Consider the following 17476-nt stretch of genomic DNA (forward strand, 5'->3'; position numbering starts at 1 on the left):
AACCTTACTCTGTAAAATCTAAATACTACAGTCTAGGTTTTTGTTGAAGAAAAATATATAAATTTTCTACATGAATGATATTTCTCTATCTTTCAGAAACCATGGTTAAATATGTGGCTCAATGTTTCTTGTATAATTAACTACATGATAATTTTTTAAATTAAATATTTTTAAAACTTAAAATATTTTATCCCAAGGAACTTATCTCTCTGTTTGCAAATAATGAGAATTCTATAGTTTATAACCTATAACCTATGCTGTCATAGCTTGACTACGAGGAAGCTTACAGAGAAATTTATACATAAGTCAGGGTAAAACATTAGCTTAGATTTCACTCTACTTATTTCTCCATCCTTCAATCTAGAATCTAATGATCTATTTTCATTTTAATGGTCATGTTAAACATGTCTTTAATTGCAACTGCTTTGAAGTTAGAAAGTCCATATGTCACACATAAATGCTTGTTGTAGTTCTTAATGATTATTCATTGTGTTCCCAGTTATATTGATGTGGAACTCTTTTTTCCCAAGCCAAACTGTATCCAGCTTTATTAAAGATACTTTCCATAAACAATCATGGTATTTCAGGCAGGACAGGGCAGACAATCATTAACGTATACAACTTTCAAACTCTCTTCTTCAATGGACTACCAAAAATTGGAAAGCCACTATAAAACCCAATGAAGTCTTCATCTGATGCTCTGAACAGGGAAAGCTTAGAGTGAGGGTTGACAGTTCACATTTAGCTTGTTTTTAACAACTTTTCACAAGCCAACCCTGACTTTCAGAAAGTGAAATGAAAATGGCAGAATTTATCTGAAGATCCACAATCTAGAAATGGAACCACTGCTCCTTTTGACAGGTGCCATCTCAGTGGCATCACTGGAAAGTCCAGATTGCCTGACACACTGGTAACCAATGATTGGAGGTCAGGTCCCAACAGATGTCTGGGCTTAAGGGAGTTAAGTATATGCTGAAAGATGGAAAGGTCGAAGAGGACATACAAACGAATTTGTTTTTCCATACCATGAGGCTTTTGTGCAAAGAGGCCTTGTGTGTCAAAGTCAGGGAATCCCTCCTCCTGGGAGCCAAGAGGAAGTTTCTCAAAACTAGAAGGGAAAGGTGTTTCCCCCACATCAATCCAGCTGCAGAGACATTCTATTAGTGACATATGCCCCTTCCCCAAAAAACAACAATGAGGTGGTCTGTATGCTAACAACATAACTTCAAAAAAAGGTAAAACAAAATTCTGCATTTTTATAAAACTTGATAAAAATAGTATTTCAAACTGTACAGTCACCATACGTACAGTTATCAAAAATCCACACACTTCGCTTGGCATCTCCAGCACCTTCAGCTTTCTGTGCCTGGTCTGTTTTGGCATCTCCATTTTCTGCAGGGCTATTCCCCTCCTTGCCAGCATCAACTTTCCCCTTTTTCCCTTTGGGTACCTTCTCTCCCTTCTTTGCAGGGGCCTTTTTAGGCTTGGGCTCTGGCTTTGGAGGAGCAGGTTTAGCAGACAACCTCGCAGATCTTCCCTGTGGTTCATCCTTCCCTTTGGCTTTATCCCCTTTAGCATCCCCTTCAGCCTTTCTCTTGGGCATGGTGGTGGCGGCGACAGCGGCACGACATAGGCGCTGGACGCAGGGCTTTGGTCAGTCCAGGGGTCGTTCTAGCCTCTTTTTCTTCTCCCAATGTGGGACATTTTTTTACACTTGAAAAAAGACTCAGCGATAAGGCTCTTCCTATAAGCAAACACTCTAGTCAAAAATTGAAGAAGTCTAAATTGAAATGAAATAGGCATGTCAGTCAAACATTTGTACCCACACTTCTGATTAATTGAAGTTTTTGTTTCTTCATTAACCATCTATTTTTAATTTTTTAAAAGCACACTAACTTAAAAAGCTGTTTATAGGCTGGGTGTGGCGGCTCACCCCTGTAATCCCAGCACTTTGGGAGGCTGAGCTGGGCAGATCATCTGAGGTCAGGAGTTTGAGACCAGTCTGGCCAACATGGTGAAACCCTGTCTCTACTAAAAAATACAAAAATTAGCCAACCGTGATGGTGGCTGCCTGTGAACCCAGCTACTCAGGAGGCTGAGACAGGAGAATCGCTTGAACCTGGGAGGCGGAGTTTGCAGTGAGCCAAGATTGCACCACTGCACTCCAGCCTGGGTGGCACAGCGAGACTCCGTCTCAAAAAAAAAGGCTGTTTATAGTGTCCAAACAATATAAACATACTACTTTATGGTAGAAACCTAACCTGATGATCATGAAAACTTAATAAGAACTTTTTTCACATTTACCTTGTTACTCTTAAAAATCAGATACAAAAAGTCACCTATAAGAGCCTTCTTAATGAAAACAGCAATAGTCTCAAACTGATGACTCTTTAACTGTAAAACACTCATTCCCTGGAACATCCTCACCCTTGACATTCGTGGGCATATGGTACGTATTCCATAAATGCTTACTGAATTGAGAAAGGAAATTTATATACATGTATTGGGAAGTGTTTTCAGAAAATGCATCCCTAAAAAATCCATCCTTTAAGTGACTTACATTGCATTTATGATTACACTTTTTTTTTTTTTTTTTCTTTTTTGAGACGCAGTTTCACTCTTGTTGCCCAGGCTGGAGTGCAATGGTGCAATCTCGGCTCACCACAACCTCCACCTCCCAGGTTCAAGTGATCCTCCTGCCTCAGCCTCCCAAGTAGCTGGGATTACAGGCATGTGCCATGACGCCCAGGTAATTTTGTATTTTTAGTAGAGACAGGGTTTCTCCATGTTGGTCAGGCTGGTCTCCAACTCCCGACCTCACGTGATCCTCGTGCCTTGGCCTCCCAAAGTGCTGGGTTACAGGTGTGAGCCACCATGCCCGGCCTCTTCCACTTTTCGTATTTCAGCATGGCCGTTGAATTTCCCTCCTCCCATCTGAGAGCATATGTTCCTGTTTCTTTAGTTGCTTCATAGGGCCTTTACTATTCCTTCTCCTACTTGTAATAGAGCTAACAATTGAGCTAGTTTGGCCAGGTGTGGTGTCTCACGCCTGTAATCCCAACACTTTTGGAGGCCAAGGCGGGCAGATCACTTGAGGTCAGGAGTTCAAGACCAGCCTGGCCAACATGGTGAAACCCCGTCTCTACTAAAAATACAAAAATTAGCAGATGTGATGACGCGTGCCTGTAGTCCCAACTACTCAGCAGGCTGAGGCAGGAGAATTGCTTGAACCTGAGAGGCGGAGGATGCAGTGAGCCAAGACTGTGCCAAGCATTCCAGCCTAGGTGACAGAGTAAGACTTTGAGACTTCATCTCCAAAAAAAAAAAAAAAAAAAAAAGTTGAGCTAGTTAGAGATGCAAACATCCAGAATCAGGGTGTATCAGTCGCACCATCTCCTCTTCACCATCTCGTACAGTGCTCTGCTGAGAAGACACTTGCATATATATTGTTTTTAAACTCTGATTTTGGCTTCACTGGCTTACTAACTTCATCTTCTATGGATGATTTTGTTGAGATACTATGTATTTTTTAAAAAGTGTTTGTTGGCTGGGCATGGTGGCTCACGCCTGTAATCCCAGCATTTTGGGAGGCTGAGGTGGGCAGATCACGTGAGTTCGGGAGTTCGAGACCAGCCTGACCAACATGGAAAAACCCCATCTCTACTAAAAAATACAAAATTAGCTGGGCGTCATGGTGCATGCCTGTAATCCCAGCTACTCGGGAGGCTGAGGCAGGAGGATCGCTTGAACCTGGGAGGTGGAGGTTGTGGTGAGCCGAGATCGCATCATTGCACTTCAGCCTAGGCAACAAGAGCAAAACTCTGTCTCAAAAAAAAAAAAAAGTGTTTGTTGATTAACAGTTTGTTAAAAATCATAAATGCAATGTAAGTCACTCAAAGGATGGATTTTTTAGGGATGCATTTTCTGAAAACACTTCTCAACACATGTATATAAATTTCCTTTCTCAATTCAGTAAGCATTTAGAGACCATCCTGGCCAACATGGTGAAACCCTGTCTCTATTAAAAATACAAAAAAATTAGCTCAGTATGGTGGCACGTGCCTGTAGTCCCAGCTACTCGGGAGGCTGAGGCAGGAGAATCGCTTGAACTGGGGAGGTGGAGGTTGCAGTGAGCCGAGATCTCGCCACTGCACTCCAGCCTGGTGACAGAGTGAGACTCCATCTCAAAAAAATAAATACATAAATAAAAAATAACTGGAAGATTGGCCGGGCACGGTGACTCACACCTGTAATCCCAGCACTTTGGGAGGCTGGCTCAGATGGATTACTTGAGGTCAGGAGTTCAAGACCAGCCTAGCCAACATGGTGAAACCCCGTCTCTACTAAAAGTACAAAAATTAGCTGGGCGTGGTGGCGGGCACCTGTAGTCCTGGCTACTCGGGAGGCTGAGGCATGAGAATTGCTTGAACCCGGGAGGCAGGAGTTGCAGTGAGCCACGATTGTGCCACTGCACTCCAGCCTGGGCAACAGAGTGAAACTCTGTCTCATAAAAAAGAAAAAAAAGTCAGAGACAAATATGTACCCTTTATAAGCAGGCAAAAACTGAACAACATGTGATTAAATTGTTAAGAACAGCAGGGGAATTATTATTACAAAATACAGATAGTGGTAAATACAGATAGTAATACAAACATGACTCACTGCAGCCTCGACCTCCTGGGCTCAAGCAATCCTCCCGCCTCAGCCTTCCAAGTAGCTGGGACTACAGGCACATGCCACCATATCTGGCCAATTTTTAAATTTTTTGTAGAGACAGGTGTCAACATATTGCCAAGGCTGGTCTTGAATCCCTGGGCTCAAGCGATCCTCCCACCTCCACCTTTCAAAGTGCTGGGATTACAAACATGAGCCACTGTGCCCGGCCTCACGCTGCACTTTCTAATTGTGCTGGTGATAATAATAATGGTAGTAATGAGGGTGATGATAAAAATAACTAGCATGTGTTCCATGTTCACAATATACCACTCACAGGTCTATATGCTCTAGATTCACGGCAGGCCGTGTGCTGTTACCTAGTGTGCCTTACATTACTCAGCTAGTAACTGGTGGAGTGGAGATTCTGACAAAGGAACTCTGGCTCCAGAGCACACGTTCTTAATCGCAGCACTCTGTTCTTCTGGACACTCTTATATTAGTTTTCTGAGCCTGCAATAACAAACTACAGAAATTTATTCTCTCACAGTTACAGAGGCTAAAAATACAAAATCCAGCAGGGCCATGCTCTCTCCAGGGGCTCTAAGGGAAAATTCTTCTTCGCCTCTTCCAGCTGCTGGTAGCTGTCTTGGCATTTCTTTTTTTTTTCCTTTGAGACAGAGTCTTGCACTGTCGCCCAGGCTGGAGTACAATGGTACAGTCTCGGTTCACTGCAGCCTCCGCCTCCCGGGTTCAAGCGATTCTCCTGCCTCAGCCTCCGAAGTAGCTGGGATTACAGGCACCCGCCACCATGCCTGGCGAATTTTTGTTGTTGTATTTTTAGTAGAGATGGGGTTTCACCATGTTGACCAGGCTGGTCTCGAACTCCTGGCCTCAGGAGATCCGCCCACCTCGGCCTCCCAAAGTTCAGGGATTACAGGTGTAAGCCACTGCACCCGGCCTGCCCTGGCATTTCTGCTTAGGCTGTGGCTGCATCATTTCAGCCTCTGCCTCTGTCTCCACATGGTGTTCTCCTGTGTGTGTCTAATTTCCCTCTGCTTCTCCCTTGTCACTGGACTTGGGACTTATCTGGATAATCTAAGACAAGTTTCTCCTCTCAAAAAAACTTGCCAGATGTGGTAGCTCACACCTGTAATCCTAGCACTTTGGGAGGCTGAGGCAAGAGGATTGTTTGAGCTCAGGAGTTCGAGACCAGCCTGGGCAACACGTAGAAACTCTATCTCTACAAAAAAACAAATACAAAAATTAGCCAGGCACAGTGGCTCATGCCTATAGTCCCAGCTACTTGGGGGGCTGGGACTAGAGAATCGCTTGAGCCTGAAAGGTGGAGATTACAGTGAGTGGAGATGGTGCCACTGCACTCCAGCCTGGGTGACAAAGTGAGTCCCTGTCTCAAAAAAAAAAAAAAAAACAAAAAAAACCCTTAAATACCTTTTTTTGTCATAAAAGGTAATATCCACTCTCTTTTACTATATAAGTATATTTACATGTTCTGGGGGTTCGGATGTAGACATATCTTTTGGGAACCACCATTCAACCCATAAAACTATAAAAAATCAACTGACTTTTGGATATTCCATATAAACCCAGCAAACTGGCTGTATTTTCCTATCAGCTCCAATAAATGTCTGTTGATTCTTTTGAGTTTTCATTCTAGTCAATCATGTCATCTGTGAATTAGCTAAAACTGCTTTTTTTGTGGAGATTCCTTATTTTATTGTGCATGCTACCCTATTATCATAATTGTCATCACAAACAACAAATGTTTAGTGAGTGTTTACTTAGTAAAAAACATTGTACTAGATAATATGGGGATCAAAAGGATGAAAAGGACATAGTCTTTGCCCTCTCAAAAGCATAATAATTGAGATATGGTTCATATACATGAAAAAAATCACTATTAAGCAAAAGGGAACAAGGTTGCAGTTACCTTTGCAGTGTGAGTCTTCACTTAAAAGAACTGCTTTTCAGCCAGGCATGGTGGCTCACGCCTGTAATCCCAGCACTTTGAGAGGCCGAGGCTGGCGGATCACCTGAGGTCAGGAGTTCGAGACCAGCCTGGCCAAAATGGAGAAACCCCGTCTCTACTAAAAATACAAAATTAGCCAGGCATGGTGGCACATGCCTGTAATCCCAGCTACTCAGGAGGCTGAGGCAGTAGAATCACTTGAACCCGGGAGGTGGAGGTTGCAGTGAGCAGAGATTGGGCCATTGCACTCCAGCCTAGGTAACAAGAGCAAAACTCTGTCTCAAAAAAAAAAAAGAATTGTTTTTCTTCTGCCTCAATACATGAGCATGCTGCATCACCCTACATGGGCTATTTCATCAGGACTCCCTACTCTCCCTCTCCTCTTTTTTTTTTCTCTCCCTTGTTTTGGACATGTCCAGTCTGTGGTCTGAATCACTCATATTATTAGAAGTCAATGGAAAAGGAAAAGCAAAGCAGGAGAAGCTTGCAGCAGAACAGCAGAGTGAGCAATAGCTATCATTATTCTCTCTACCTGGCAGGGCTTCTTGCCTCTTACATAAAACAGAGATTACTGAGGTTGCAAAAGACTCTGAAATCTGGCTAGGTGTAGTGGTTCATGCCTATAATCTCAGCACTTTGGGAGACTGAGGCAAGGAGGATCATTTGAGTGCAAGAGTTCACAACCAGCCTGGGCAACATAGTGAGATCCCATCTCTAACGAAAAATTTTAAAAATTAGCTGGATGTGGTGGTGTGTACCTATAGTCCCAGCTACTCAGGAGGCTGAGCTGGGAGGATTGCTTGAGCCCAGGAGATCGAGGCTGTAGTGAGCTGTGATGGTCCAACTGCACTTTAGCCTAGGTGACAAAGTAAGACACTGTCTCAAAAAAAAGACTAAAAAAAAAAAAAAAATCTGAACTCTTTCCCAGAAGTTGATTGCCAGGCTGAGAATTCTGAAGGAACATAAGACAAATAAATAACATTAATTTCTTATCCATGAAAAGAGCAAAAGATTAAGAAAATTAATAAAAGAAAATATGAGCATAAAATTTGGATTAAGGAGATATTTTTAGCCTTTCAGTTGTTTTCAGACAATTTTGCAGTAGCTTTAATTTAGCTAATCCTTGGATGGATTACTACATAAAAAATTTTAAGTGGTTTACAGAATAGGGTGTCCAATACAATCTATTTTTGACAAAAAGAAATAGATATGCACAAAAAGGAATGTCAGCTGTCAGCTGCTATCCCAAGTGCTATGATTTTAGTTTTTACTTTCTTCTTCTATAGTAACCACATTTTCTATATTGAATATATACTACTTTAATAATTTTTAAAATATAATGTTTAGTCTAATTTAAAAATATGTTAACTTATGACCATTGTGCCCATGTCATGCACTCTATAGAAATTATATTAGGCCAGGTGCGGTGGCTCATGCCTGTAATCCCAGCACTTTGGGAGGCTGAAGTGGGCAGATCACCTGAGGTCAGGAGTTCAAGACCACCCTGGCCAATGTGGTGAAACCCTGTCTCTACTAAAAATACAAAAATTAGCCGGGTGTGGTGGCATGAGCCTGTAATCCCCGCTACTCAGGAGGCTGAGGCAGGAGAATTGCTTGAACCTGGAAGGCAAAGGTTGCAGTGAGCTGAGATCATGCCATTGCACTCCAGCCTGGGCAACAACAGCAAGACTCTGTTTCAAAAAACAAAAAAAAAAGAAAGCACAATGTCACAATGTCACACCTGTGACACAATGTCACACTACACAATGTCACACCTGTGAACCAGCAGGAGAGAGACCCAGAATTGGGGAGATGGAAGATAAAGTCAATCTCTGAAATAGAAAATAGTGGAATTCCTTTAAAATAACATCCTATACAGAAAGATCATTGGCCAATTATTTTGGTGGGACCGAACTAGCTCCCAAGTTGTTTCTTGAATTATAGGAAGTTATGTCTCAGGAAGACATGGACTGAAAAAGAGCTCAGACAAGATTAGAAGAGGGGACCCCTTGGCCACTCCCGTGCTTTCCTGAGCTTGCATTCTTAGTTCTATTTTCAACCACAGTTTCTTCGCAGCCACTATTCCATGGATCAGGTGGATGTTTTCGTTAAATGAGAAAGCATAACCCCTAAATCCACTAAACTGGGCTCACATCAGCTATAAGTGGTCAAAATGCACTGAGGGGCTACAGGAGGGTGCCGCCCATCCCCCTGTGAGTTGAGGCCTCTCCAACAGCACACCTGACACAGGCACCATGGCCCTCAGTTGTGCCAGATAATATGAGGATCATATTACGTACTAGACAATATGAGGTTCATATTATGTACTAGATAATATGAGGATCATATTACCTAGTACAGCTCACAGGGGTGAGTGCCAGGAGTCAAAACAAACACTGAATATTAGCAAAGCAAATTAGCAAAGCAGAATATTAGCAAAGCAGAATTTATATTTTTAGATAAATATAAATAGATATTTTAATATCTTCTTACCGTGCTCCAAGGAAGTGTTGGGGGCCCCATGCTCACACCCCACTTTGAAGAACTCTGGTGAAGAGTAGGAATGGAGGCAAACATTTCAAAAGCTTCACATAAATGTTTACATAATCCCATCAACTACTCCATGGGGTAGATCAGGACAGTCTCACTGAAAACAAAGGTTCATAGAGGGAAAGAAAATTGCCACAGTCCCATAATTAACCAGGGCACAGTTGAAATCCCAAATGTCCCTGCCTAACCCTGTATCCCGGGTCCCATCTCACAGGAGGTCCTTGCCAGGTGGGTTGGCCCAGGAAGACTTTGCCGGTGAGGAAGCCCCGAACTGGGTAAATTGCAGGGCAGAGGGCAGGAGCAGACGGAAAGCAATAGGAAGGAGGAGCTGCCGGCTTGGGGAAATGAAGAGTTTGTGGAGATGAAGGGGAAGTCCGTGTTTGAGCTAGCTACCACTGAGCCTGTGGGAGGAAGTGCCCAGCACACAGCAAGAAACCAGCAGTCAGGTCAGGTATGCAGATATAGAAGTGGGAGTCTTCTGGGTGGAGTTAAAACCAAAGACATATAAGAGAAACATGGGCCGGGCACGGTGGCTGACGCCTGTAATCCCAGCACTTTGGGAGGCCGAGGTGGGCAGATCACAAGGTCAGGAGTTCAAGACCAGCCTGGCCAACATGGTAAAACCCCGTCTCTACTAAAAAAAAAAAATACAAAAATGACTGGGCACGGTGGCTCACGCCTGTAATCCCAGCACTTTGGGAGGCCGAGGCAGGCAGATTGCCTGAGCTCAGGAGTTCATGACCAGCCTGGGCAACACAGTGAGACTCCATCTCTACTAAAATACAAAAAATTAGCTGGGCATGGCAGCATGCACCTGTAGTCCCAGCTACTTGGGAAGCTGAGGCGGGAGAATTGCTTGAACCCGGGAGGCGGAGGTTGCAGTGAGCCGAGATCGCGCCACTGCACTCCAGCCTGGGTGACAGAGCAAGACTCCATCTCAAAAAAAACAAAAACAAAAATTAGCCGGGCATGGTGGTGCACGCCTGTGATCCTAGCTACTTGAGAGGCTGAGGCAGGAGAATTGCTTGAACCTGGGAGAAGGAGGTTGCAGTGAGCCGAGATCATGCCACTGCACTCTAGCCTGGGTGACAGAGCAAGACTCTGTCTCAAAAAAAAAAAAAAAAAAAGAGAGAGAAACATGAAGAGAGGAAGGAGATGGAAGGAGCCAACAAAGACACGTTTATGTGTAACATGGAGTCACCCACAGTTGCAGTAAATCCCCGGTCAAACCAAAACTAAATAGGTCATGCATCAACACATACATAACATAACTGCAACAGAATTAGCCACAAAAAAATGCATAAACCTAATTATTTATTCAGGCACCCCACACAAATCTTATCATTGCTGAATTTTTATCACATGCCTAAAAAAATGAAATATTCAGTAGTGAAAGGTGAGCAGTAGCAAAATGATTACCTATAACAGCACTAAATTAAACAAAATTCTAATAAACAATAGCAGCAATTGAAACCCTGAATGATTAGTCATTTTAGGAACACATGTCTTTGCAGATTGAAATTTTTCACAACAGAAGGAGAGCCTGTTTTTTTTTTCTCAACTAAGCAGCAAAACCCATGGAGTTCCTGCTTCTCCAGTGAGAGGGTGCTGACCTGGCAGCTGATCCAACAGATCTGAACTGAGGGAGCCATTTACCCACTGCAGAAGGATGTGTTGGCTTTCTCAGGTCATGTGACCACTCCTAACCAGAGACACCGGAAAAATTCAGTGTTTTAGAAGACATGGAGTTAGGGCTTTAAATTTGCAGAGACTTTAAGGAGATTTTGGAGGGCCATCCTAGCGGACTCAGGGGATGTTCTGAATTTTTTGGAACTTACCTTTGTTTATTATCCCAACTCTCAGTTGAGGTCAGAGCAAATATGAATTGAAGTTACCCAGCTCTTTTCCTATTGTGATGCCTGAAATGCCACTATTTTAGAGTCTCCTTTTGGCTCTGGAGACTTGCTTGTTGAAACATTGCACCTTAATTACATATTACTGTTCATCTGAACTTAGTGAGAGGAAGATCTGGTGGAAAGAATTCTTATGGGACATCAACATTAGACAGCCACCCAAAAGTGGTAAATGAAAGAGAGATAGCAAGATGAATCCTGAAGGGAAAGCTAAGAGGGCCTCATAGCAAACTTTCGTACTTACAGTTTTCCTTGAGTCTGGATAATCACTCTAGCTAATGGATTCACCTCTAGCTTATACCTATTCCAAACTATCACTTCTTAGTAGATCAGATAGACTCTTGGTAAAGACTCAAATGGGGAGAGGTGCCGGCAGAGCTGGAGAAGGCAGTAGTTCTTGCAGCAGAGCTGAAAATAATGCAGTCTCACTAAGCCAGGGAAGACCTCACAGACAGCCAACAACACTTGTATCTGTGTTGGCTTCTGTGGCTTCCTTTTAAATCTAATAATGGATTAGTCCTTCCCCCTTCTGTCCCTCTTCCTGATTCTGAGCATCTGATGAAGAAATGAACATGGCTAGAAACTGACTGGCCTTGTGCTAAATCTTAAGGTATCTAAGGGATCTTTGAGGGACAGAACCCACCTCCACCAATGGTGGCTTCTGAGAGGTTTGGTTCAGTTACCAGGTATTTAGGAGAATCTCACTAAAACCAGGAATTCTGTGTCATACAGTACACTGTTGTAAATGCTCTGTAATTTGTTGGAAGTTGTGTCAGCACTGAAAGTTAATTGCCAGATGTTTGGATAGTAAATACAGATACTGCTGAATAACACAAATACTTGCTTCCTTAAATATGTTTGATTTGGTGAAATGCATGTGCTGGTCTCTAAATAACCTAGAAAACTAGATGATGTATGGTAAAACTTGACAACCAATGAAAGGAGACATAATAAGTAAGTACTCTTGAAGAATCATAATCAAAATTCCTTTTGTTATCTAGTCAAACAAAAGAAGAAATCCTAGATTCCGGTTGCTACTTTCAAAGGTTTATTATGAACTCACAGGAGGCCACTTGCTACTGTGGAAAGGACATCAGCTTGGTGTTAAATCAGATACCAAATCCCTGCTCTGTGACATACTGACTGTGTGACTTTGGGCAAGTTATTGAACTTCTCTGAACATCAGTTTTCATCTACAGAATGGGTTGTTGAGAAGACTGAATAGAAAATGTAATTGAGGTACCTGACAGTGACCTCATCTAGTAGGTACTTGATACAGACTGAATGTTGGTATCCACCTCCCAAATTCATATCTTGAAGCTCTAATCCCCAATGTAGTGGTATTTGGAAGTAAGGCCTTTGGAAGATAATTAAGTTATGAGGGTGGAGCCCACGTGAATGGAATTAGTGACCTTATAAGAAGGGATCTGAGATTTATGTTCTCTCTCTGTCAGGTGAGGACACAGCAAAAAGACAGCTGTCCGCACATCAGGCCAGGAACTGAATCTGTCCACACCTTAATCCTGAACTTCCTAGCCTCCAGAACTGAAAGAAATAAATTTCTGTTGTTTAACACCCAGTCTATGATATGTTTGTTATAGCTGTCAGAACTGAGACAGTACTGTATAATAATAGCGCAGTAGGACAATATTTTTTGAAGTCTTAACTGATATTTTTTTTCCAAGTATTCTCTTACCATTTGACTTTTGGTCCCAGTCAGTCATGCAGATCATTATGTAAGGAGTATGAGGGCAGAAGGCAGAGAAAAGAGGTAAAGCTCCTCAGCTTTTGAATTTCAAAGGCCGAGGCTTTGAAGGAAGGGAATGAACAGATAAGAGATTTGGGTGGTTATAGGATAAATAAGGAAGAGTTATCCTCACCTCAGACCAAAAAGATTCCCTGAGGTAGGGGAAGGAGCCAACTTTGAATGCTGGAGTTCCGCAGGGCTGAGAAAAGAAAAGGGAGTGTAGAAAGTCTGTGTAAGGAGCAGTGAGGTCCCCTGGACACTCTCACTGCTTCCCATGCCAGGCTAGGCAACCTCTACTCCCGAACTCTGGCAAAAAGGGAAAGGTCTATTAATCTCTTCAGGGTTGGGACATAAAAGGTTTAAGCAGGGCAGGTACAGGTACGCAAAGGTATGGGTAAGGGACTATAGGGAAATGAGGATTTAATGAAAGTTGGAGTTTCGAATGAGTCTTCCAACCCTCTTTCCCCTCTGGCAATCAAAATGTTGACAGCCAGACATATACTCCCAGGGAGAAAATGAGAGGGTACCTTTCTGTGGAAACTGACCAAGTCAAGAAAAACACCTACAGACACTGACATTTGCTCAAAAAAAAAAATGTTCGTTTGCTGGCTTCTCTCTCTACAGTGAATCCCACCAGTCAATCAGTTCTTTCCTCCCCTCTCTGACAAACACTTAGAACCTCTGATCAGCTTTTTGAGTACTTGTGTCTTGGCTGTCCAAGAATTATCAGACATTTGAGGAGAACCACTAACAGGAAGACAAAGAGCAAAACAAAGAAATAGAATTAAAGGATCTTAGAGAAAACAGATAACACGGGGCATATTTATTAATTTTAAAAAAGCATTGGCTAGCTGTGGTGGCTCACACCCATAATTCTAGCACTTTGGGAGGCTAAGGTGGAAGGATTGCTTGAGCTCAGGAGTTCAAGACTGGCCTGGGCAACACAGTGAGACTCCATCTCTACAAAATTTTTTTAAAAAATTTCCACCAGTCATGATGGCGCATACCTGTAGTCCCAGCTACTTGGGAGGCTGAGGTGGGAGGATTGCTTGAGCACAGGGGGTTGAGGCTGCAGTGAGCTGTGATTATGCCACTGCACTCCAGCCTAAGTGACAAGGCAAGATCCTGTCTCAAAAATATATAAAAATTTCAAATTAAGGGCATGAGGCTGACACATGGTGGATGCTGCACGGTTCGAGTTTCTACACATGGAGATGGAAGCAGAGCTGTGGGATCACAAACCCAACCCTGTCCATGGCGGGACAGAAGATAAGCCTGTTGATCCTGGAGAGCATGGATTTCTGTGTGAGCCAGGTTCTAGGCGAGAGACTGCCCCTGAAGATGCTCGTCTCAGGGAGGAGCTGGGTGTCCTCAAGTTCATATGCAAAAATCTGTGGGTGGCTGTGTTCCAATAGATGGACAGCTTGTGCACCAATCACCAAGGGACCTACTTTTTGCAGGACAACAGCTTCCACTCCTCATCCCGATGATCTGGGGCCTGGATTCACTTGTGGCCTCCTGCATGGCACCCTCAGTACCCTGGGCATGGAGAGTTTGGTCACTGCCTCTGTGGCATCCCTGACCACCTGTAAGTTCCCAGTGATAATATGGAAATCCTGAGGACCCCAGTTCTCCACCCCAGTGAGCCTCACAGCTGCTTCTGGCCCTCAACCCCTCTGGAGACAGAAGATCCTTTTGCCCAGGGACCCTGGGCCTGCTGCTTTTGGGGGTGGTTTTCGGGCTGGTCCTGGGGATCCCAGCCTCTAGGGGTCACATGTGTTAGGGAAGTGAGTATCAAAAAGAGGTGGGAGCACCATGGGAAGCAAGGAGATGCCAGCTGGAGTTGGGACTGGAGTGGAGGAGTCCCACATTGGGCACATTACTCTGCATGGCGGATGCTCACTAAAGGTTCTACGTATGGAAAAAAAATTTCAAAACATTATTATACATATCCTCAGAGAAGCAAGAAATGTAATTCATCCATAAAACAAGAACACAATTTTGTGGAAAAAGAACACTCTGAAAACAAGAAATAGCTCTAGGAAATTTAAAATATGATTACCAAATTGAAAAGACATTAATTAACAAATTAGAAAATAGGCATGGCAAGGTGCCTCAGGCCTGTAATCCCAGTATTTTGGGAGGCTGCGGCCGTTGGATCAGCTGATGTCAGGAGTTCAAGACCAGCCTGGCCAACATGGTGAAGGTCGGAGGACTGCATGAGCCCAGGGGGTTGAGGCTGCAGTGAGCTGTGATTATGCCACTGCACTCCAGCCTAAGTGACAAGGCAAGATCCTGTCTCAAAAATATAAAAATTTCAAATTAGGGGCTTGAGGCTGACACATGGTGGATGCAGTGCTGTTCGAGTTTCTACACATCTCTACTAAAACTACAAAAATTAGCTGGGCATGGCGGCGGGCACCTGTAATCCCAGTTGTTCAGGAGGCTGAGGCAGAAGAATGACTTGAACCCAGGAGGCAGAGGTTGCAATGAGCCAAGATCGCGCCACTGCACTCCAGCCTGGGTGACAGAGTGAGATTCCATCTCGAAAGAAAGAAAGAAAGAAAGAAAGAAAGAAAGAAAGAAAGAAAGAAAGAAAGAAAGAAAGAAAGAAAGAAAGAAAGAAAGAAAGAAAGAAAGAAAGAAAGAAAGAAAGAAAGAAAGAAAGAAAGAAAGAAAGAAAGAGAGAGAGAAAGAAAGAGAGAGAACGAGGAGAACGAGAGAGAGAAAGAGAGAGAGAGGGAGAGAGAGAGAAAGAAAGAGAGAGAGAGAGAAAGAGAGAGGGAGAGAGAGAAAGAAAGAAAGAAAGAAAGAAAGAAAGAAAGAAAGAAAAAGAAAGAAAGAAAATAAAGTTTAATCCATTTTCCAGGAATAATGAGAAATATGAAAAAAAGATAAGAAAATTAGAGGGTTAATCCGAGAGGTCTACAATCCAACTAATAGAAATCCAGAAAAGGGAAGAAACTAAAGGGAAGAATTTATTAAAGGAATAGCAATATTTATCAGAATTAAAATAGCTCACAAATTAGCCAGGTGCAGTGGTACACATCTGTAGTCCCAGCTACTTGGTAGGCTGAGGCAGGGATTGCTGGAACCTGGGAGTTTGAGATTACAGTGAGTTATAATCATACCACTGCACTCCAGCCTGGGCAACAGAACCTGTCTCTAAATAAATAAATAAATAGCCAGACACGGTGGCTCACGCCTGTAATCCCAGCACTTGGGGAGGCCAAGGCAGGTGGATCACGAGGTCAAGAGATCGAGACCATCCTGGCCAACATGGTGAAACCCCGTCCCACTAAAAATACAAAAATTACCCAGGCATGGTGGTGGGTGTGTGTACTCCCAGCTACTCGGGAGGCTGAGGCAGGAGAATCACTTGAACCTGGGAGGCAGAGGTTGCAGTGACCCAAGATTGCACCACAGCACTCAAGCCTGGCGACAGAGCAAGACTCCGTCTCAAAAAAAAATAAATAAATAAATAAATAAATAAAATAAAATAGTTTACAATTGATGGGCTCATGGCAAGGTATAAAAACCTTTCGATCACTAAGGATAACCAGAGTCAACAGTTAACAGTCAAACAACAAAGTGGGAATAAATTATTTGTGGCCACATCAAAATAAAGGGCTACTTTCCCTAAAACATAAAGAGCTCCTATAAACAATAAGAAAAAGATTAACAACCTAATAGAAAAATTGGCAAAAGTTTACATAAAAGGAATTTTAAATGGTTCTTAAAATATGAAAAGGTAACCAGCTGTACTCATGAGAGAAATACAAATTAAATCTCACAGACACCTTTTTCACCTGTAAGATTAACAAATATAAAAATATATAATGTCTGTATTGGCAAGAATATGCAGAAATAAGCACTCTCATACAACAATGGTAAGAGTGATATTGGTATAATCTCAGTGGTGGGCAATTTGGCCAAACCTATAAAAAATACAAATGCATATATTTTTTAGCAGAAACTTTACCAAAATTTTTCCTATAGATATATTCACACATGTGAAATCACTTATGTATAAGATTATTCTCTGCAGCATTGTTTTCATGGATAAAGATTTAAAACAACCCAAATAGTAGAAGACAGGTTAGATACATTATAGTATATCTATAAACTGGCATAATATACAAGAACAAAAAAGAATAAGGTTTGTGTACTCAGTTTGTGAACTAAAATGGAAAACATTTTAGTTTAAAAAACAAGGCCAGTCGCAGTGGCTCATACCTATAATCCCAGCACTTTGGGAAGCTAAAGTGGGTGGATCACCTGAGGTCAGGAGTTCAAGACCAGCCTGATCAACATGGAGAAACCCTGTCTCTACTAAAAATACAAAATCAGCGGGACGTGGTGGTGCATGCCTGTAATCCCAGCTACTCGGGAGGCTAAGGCAGGAGAATCGCTTGAGCCCGCGAGGCAGAGGTTGCGGTGAGCAGAGATCGTGCCACTGTACTCCAGCCTGGGCAACAGAGTGAGACTCCGTCTCAAAAAAGTAAATAAATAAAAAATAACAAAATAAAATAACAAAAAACTGCTAGTCACAATAGAAATAAAATGCATGAAACACTTCGAAATTAGCTAAATGAGTAATATGCAAATTAAATAAGAAAAACT

The 17476-nt window shown here is 42.7% G+C and overlaps 2 pseudogenes; one reads left to right on the top strand and one right to left on the bottom strand.

Moving 5' to 3' along the window:
- Positions 526 to 1685, bottom strand: HMGN2P12 (high mobility group nucleosomal binding domain 2 pseudogene 12; annotated as a pseudogene).
- On the top strand, positions 14029 to 14473 carry LOC107986534 (trafficking protein particle complex subunit 6A-like; annotated as a pseudogene).
- The last annotated feature ends 3003 nt before the right edge of the window (positions 14474 to 17476 follow it).

Source organism: Homo sapiens, chromosome 6 (genome assembly GCF_000001405.40).
Source record: "Homo sapiens chromosome 6, GRCh38.p14 Primary Assembly".
NCBI classification, from domain to species: Eukaryota; Metazoa; Chordata; class Mammalia; order Primates; family Hominidae; genus Homo; species Homo sapiens.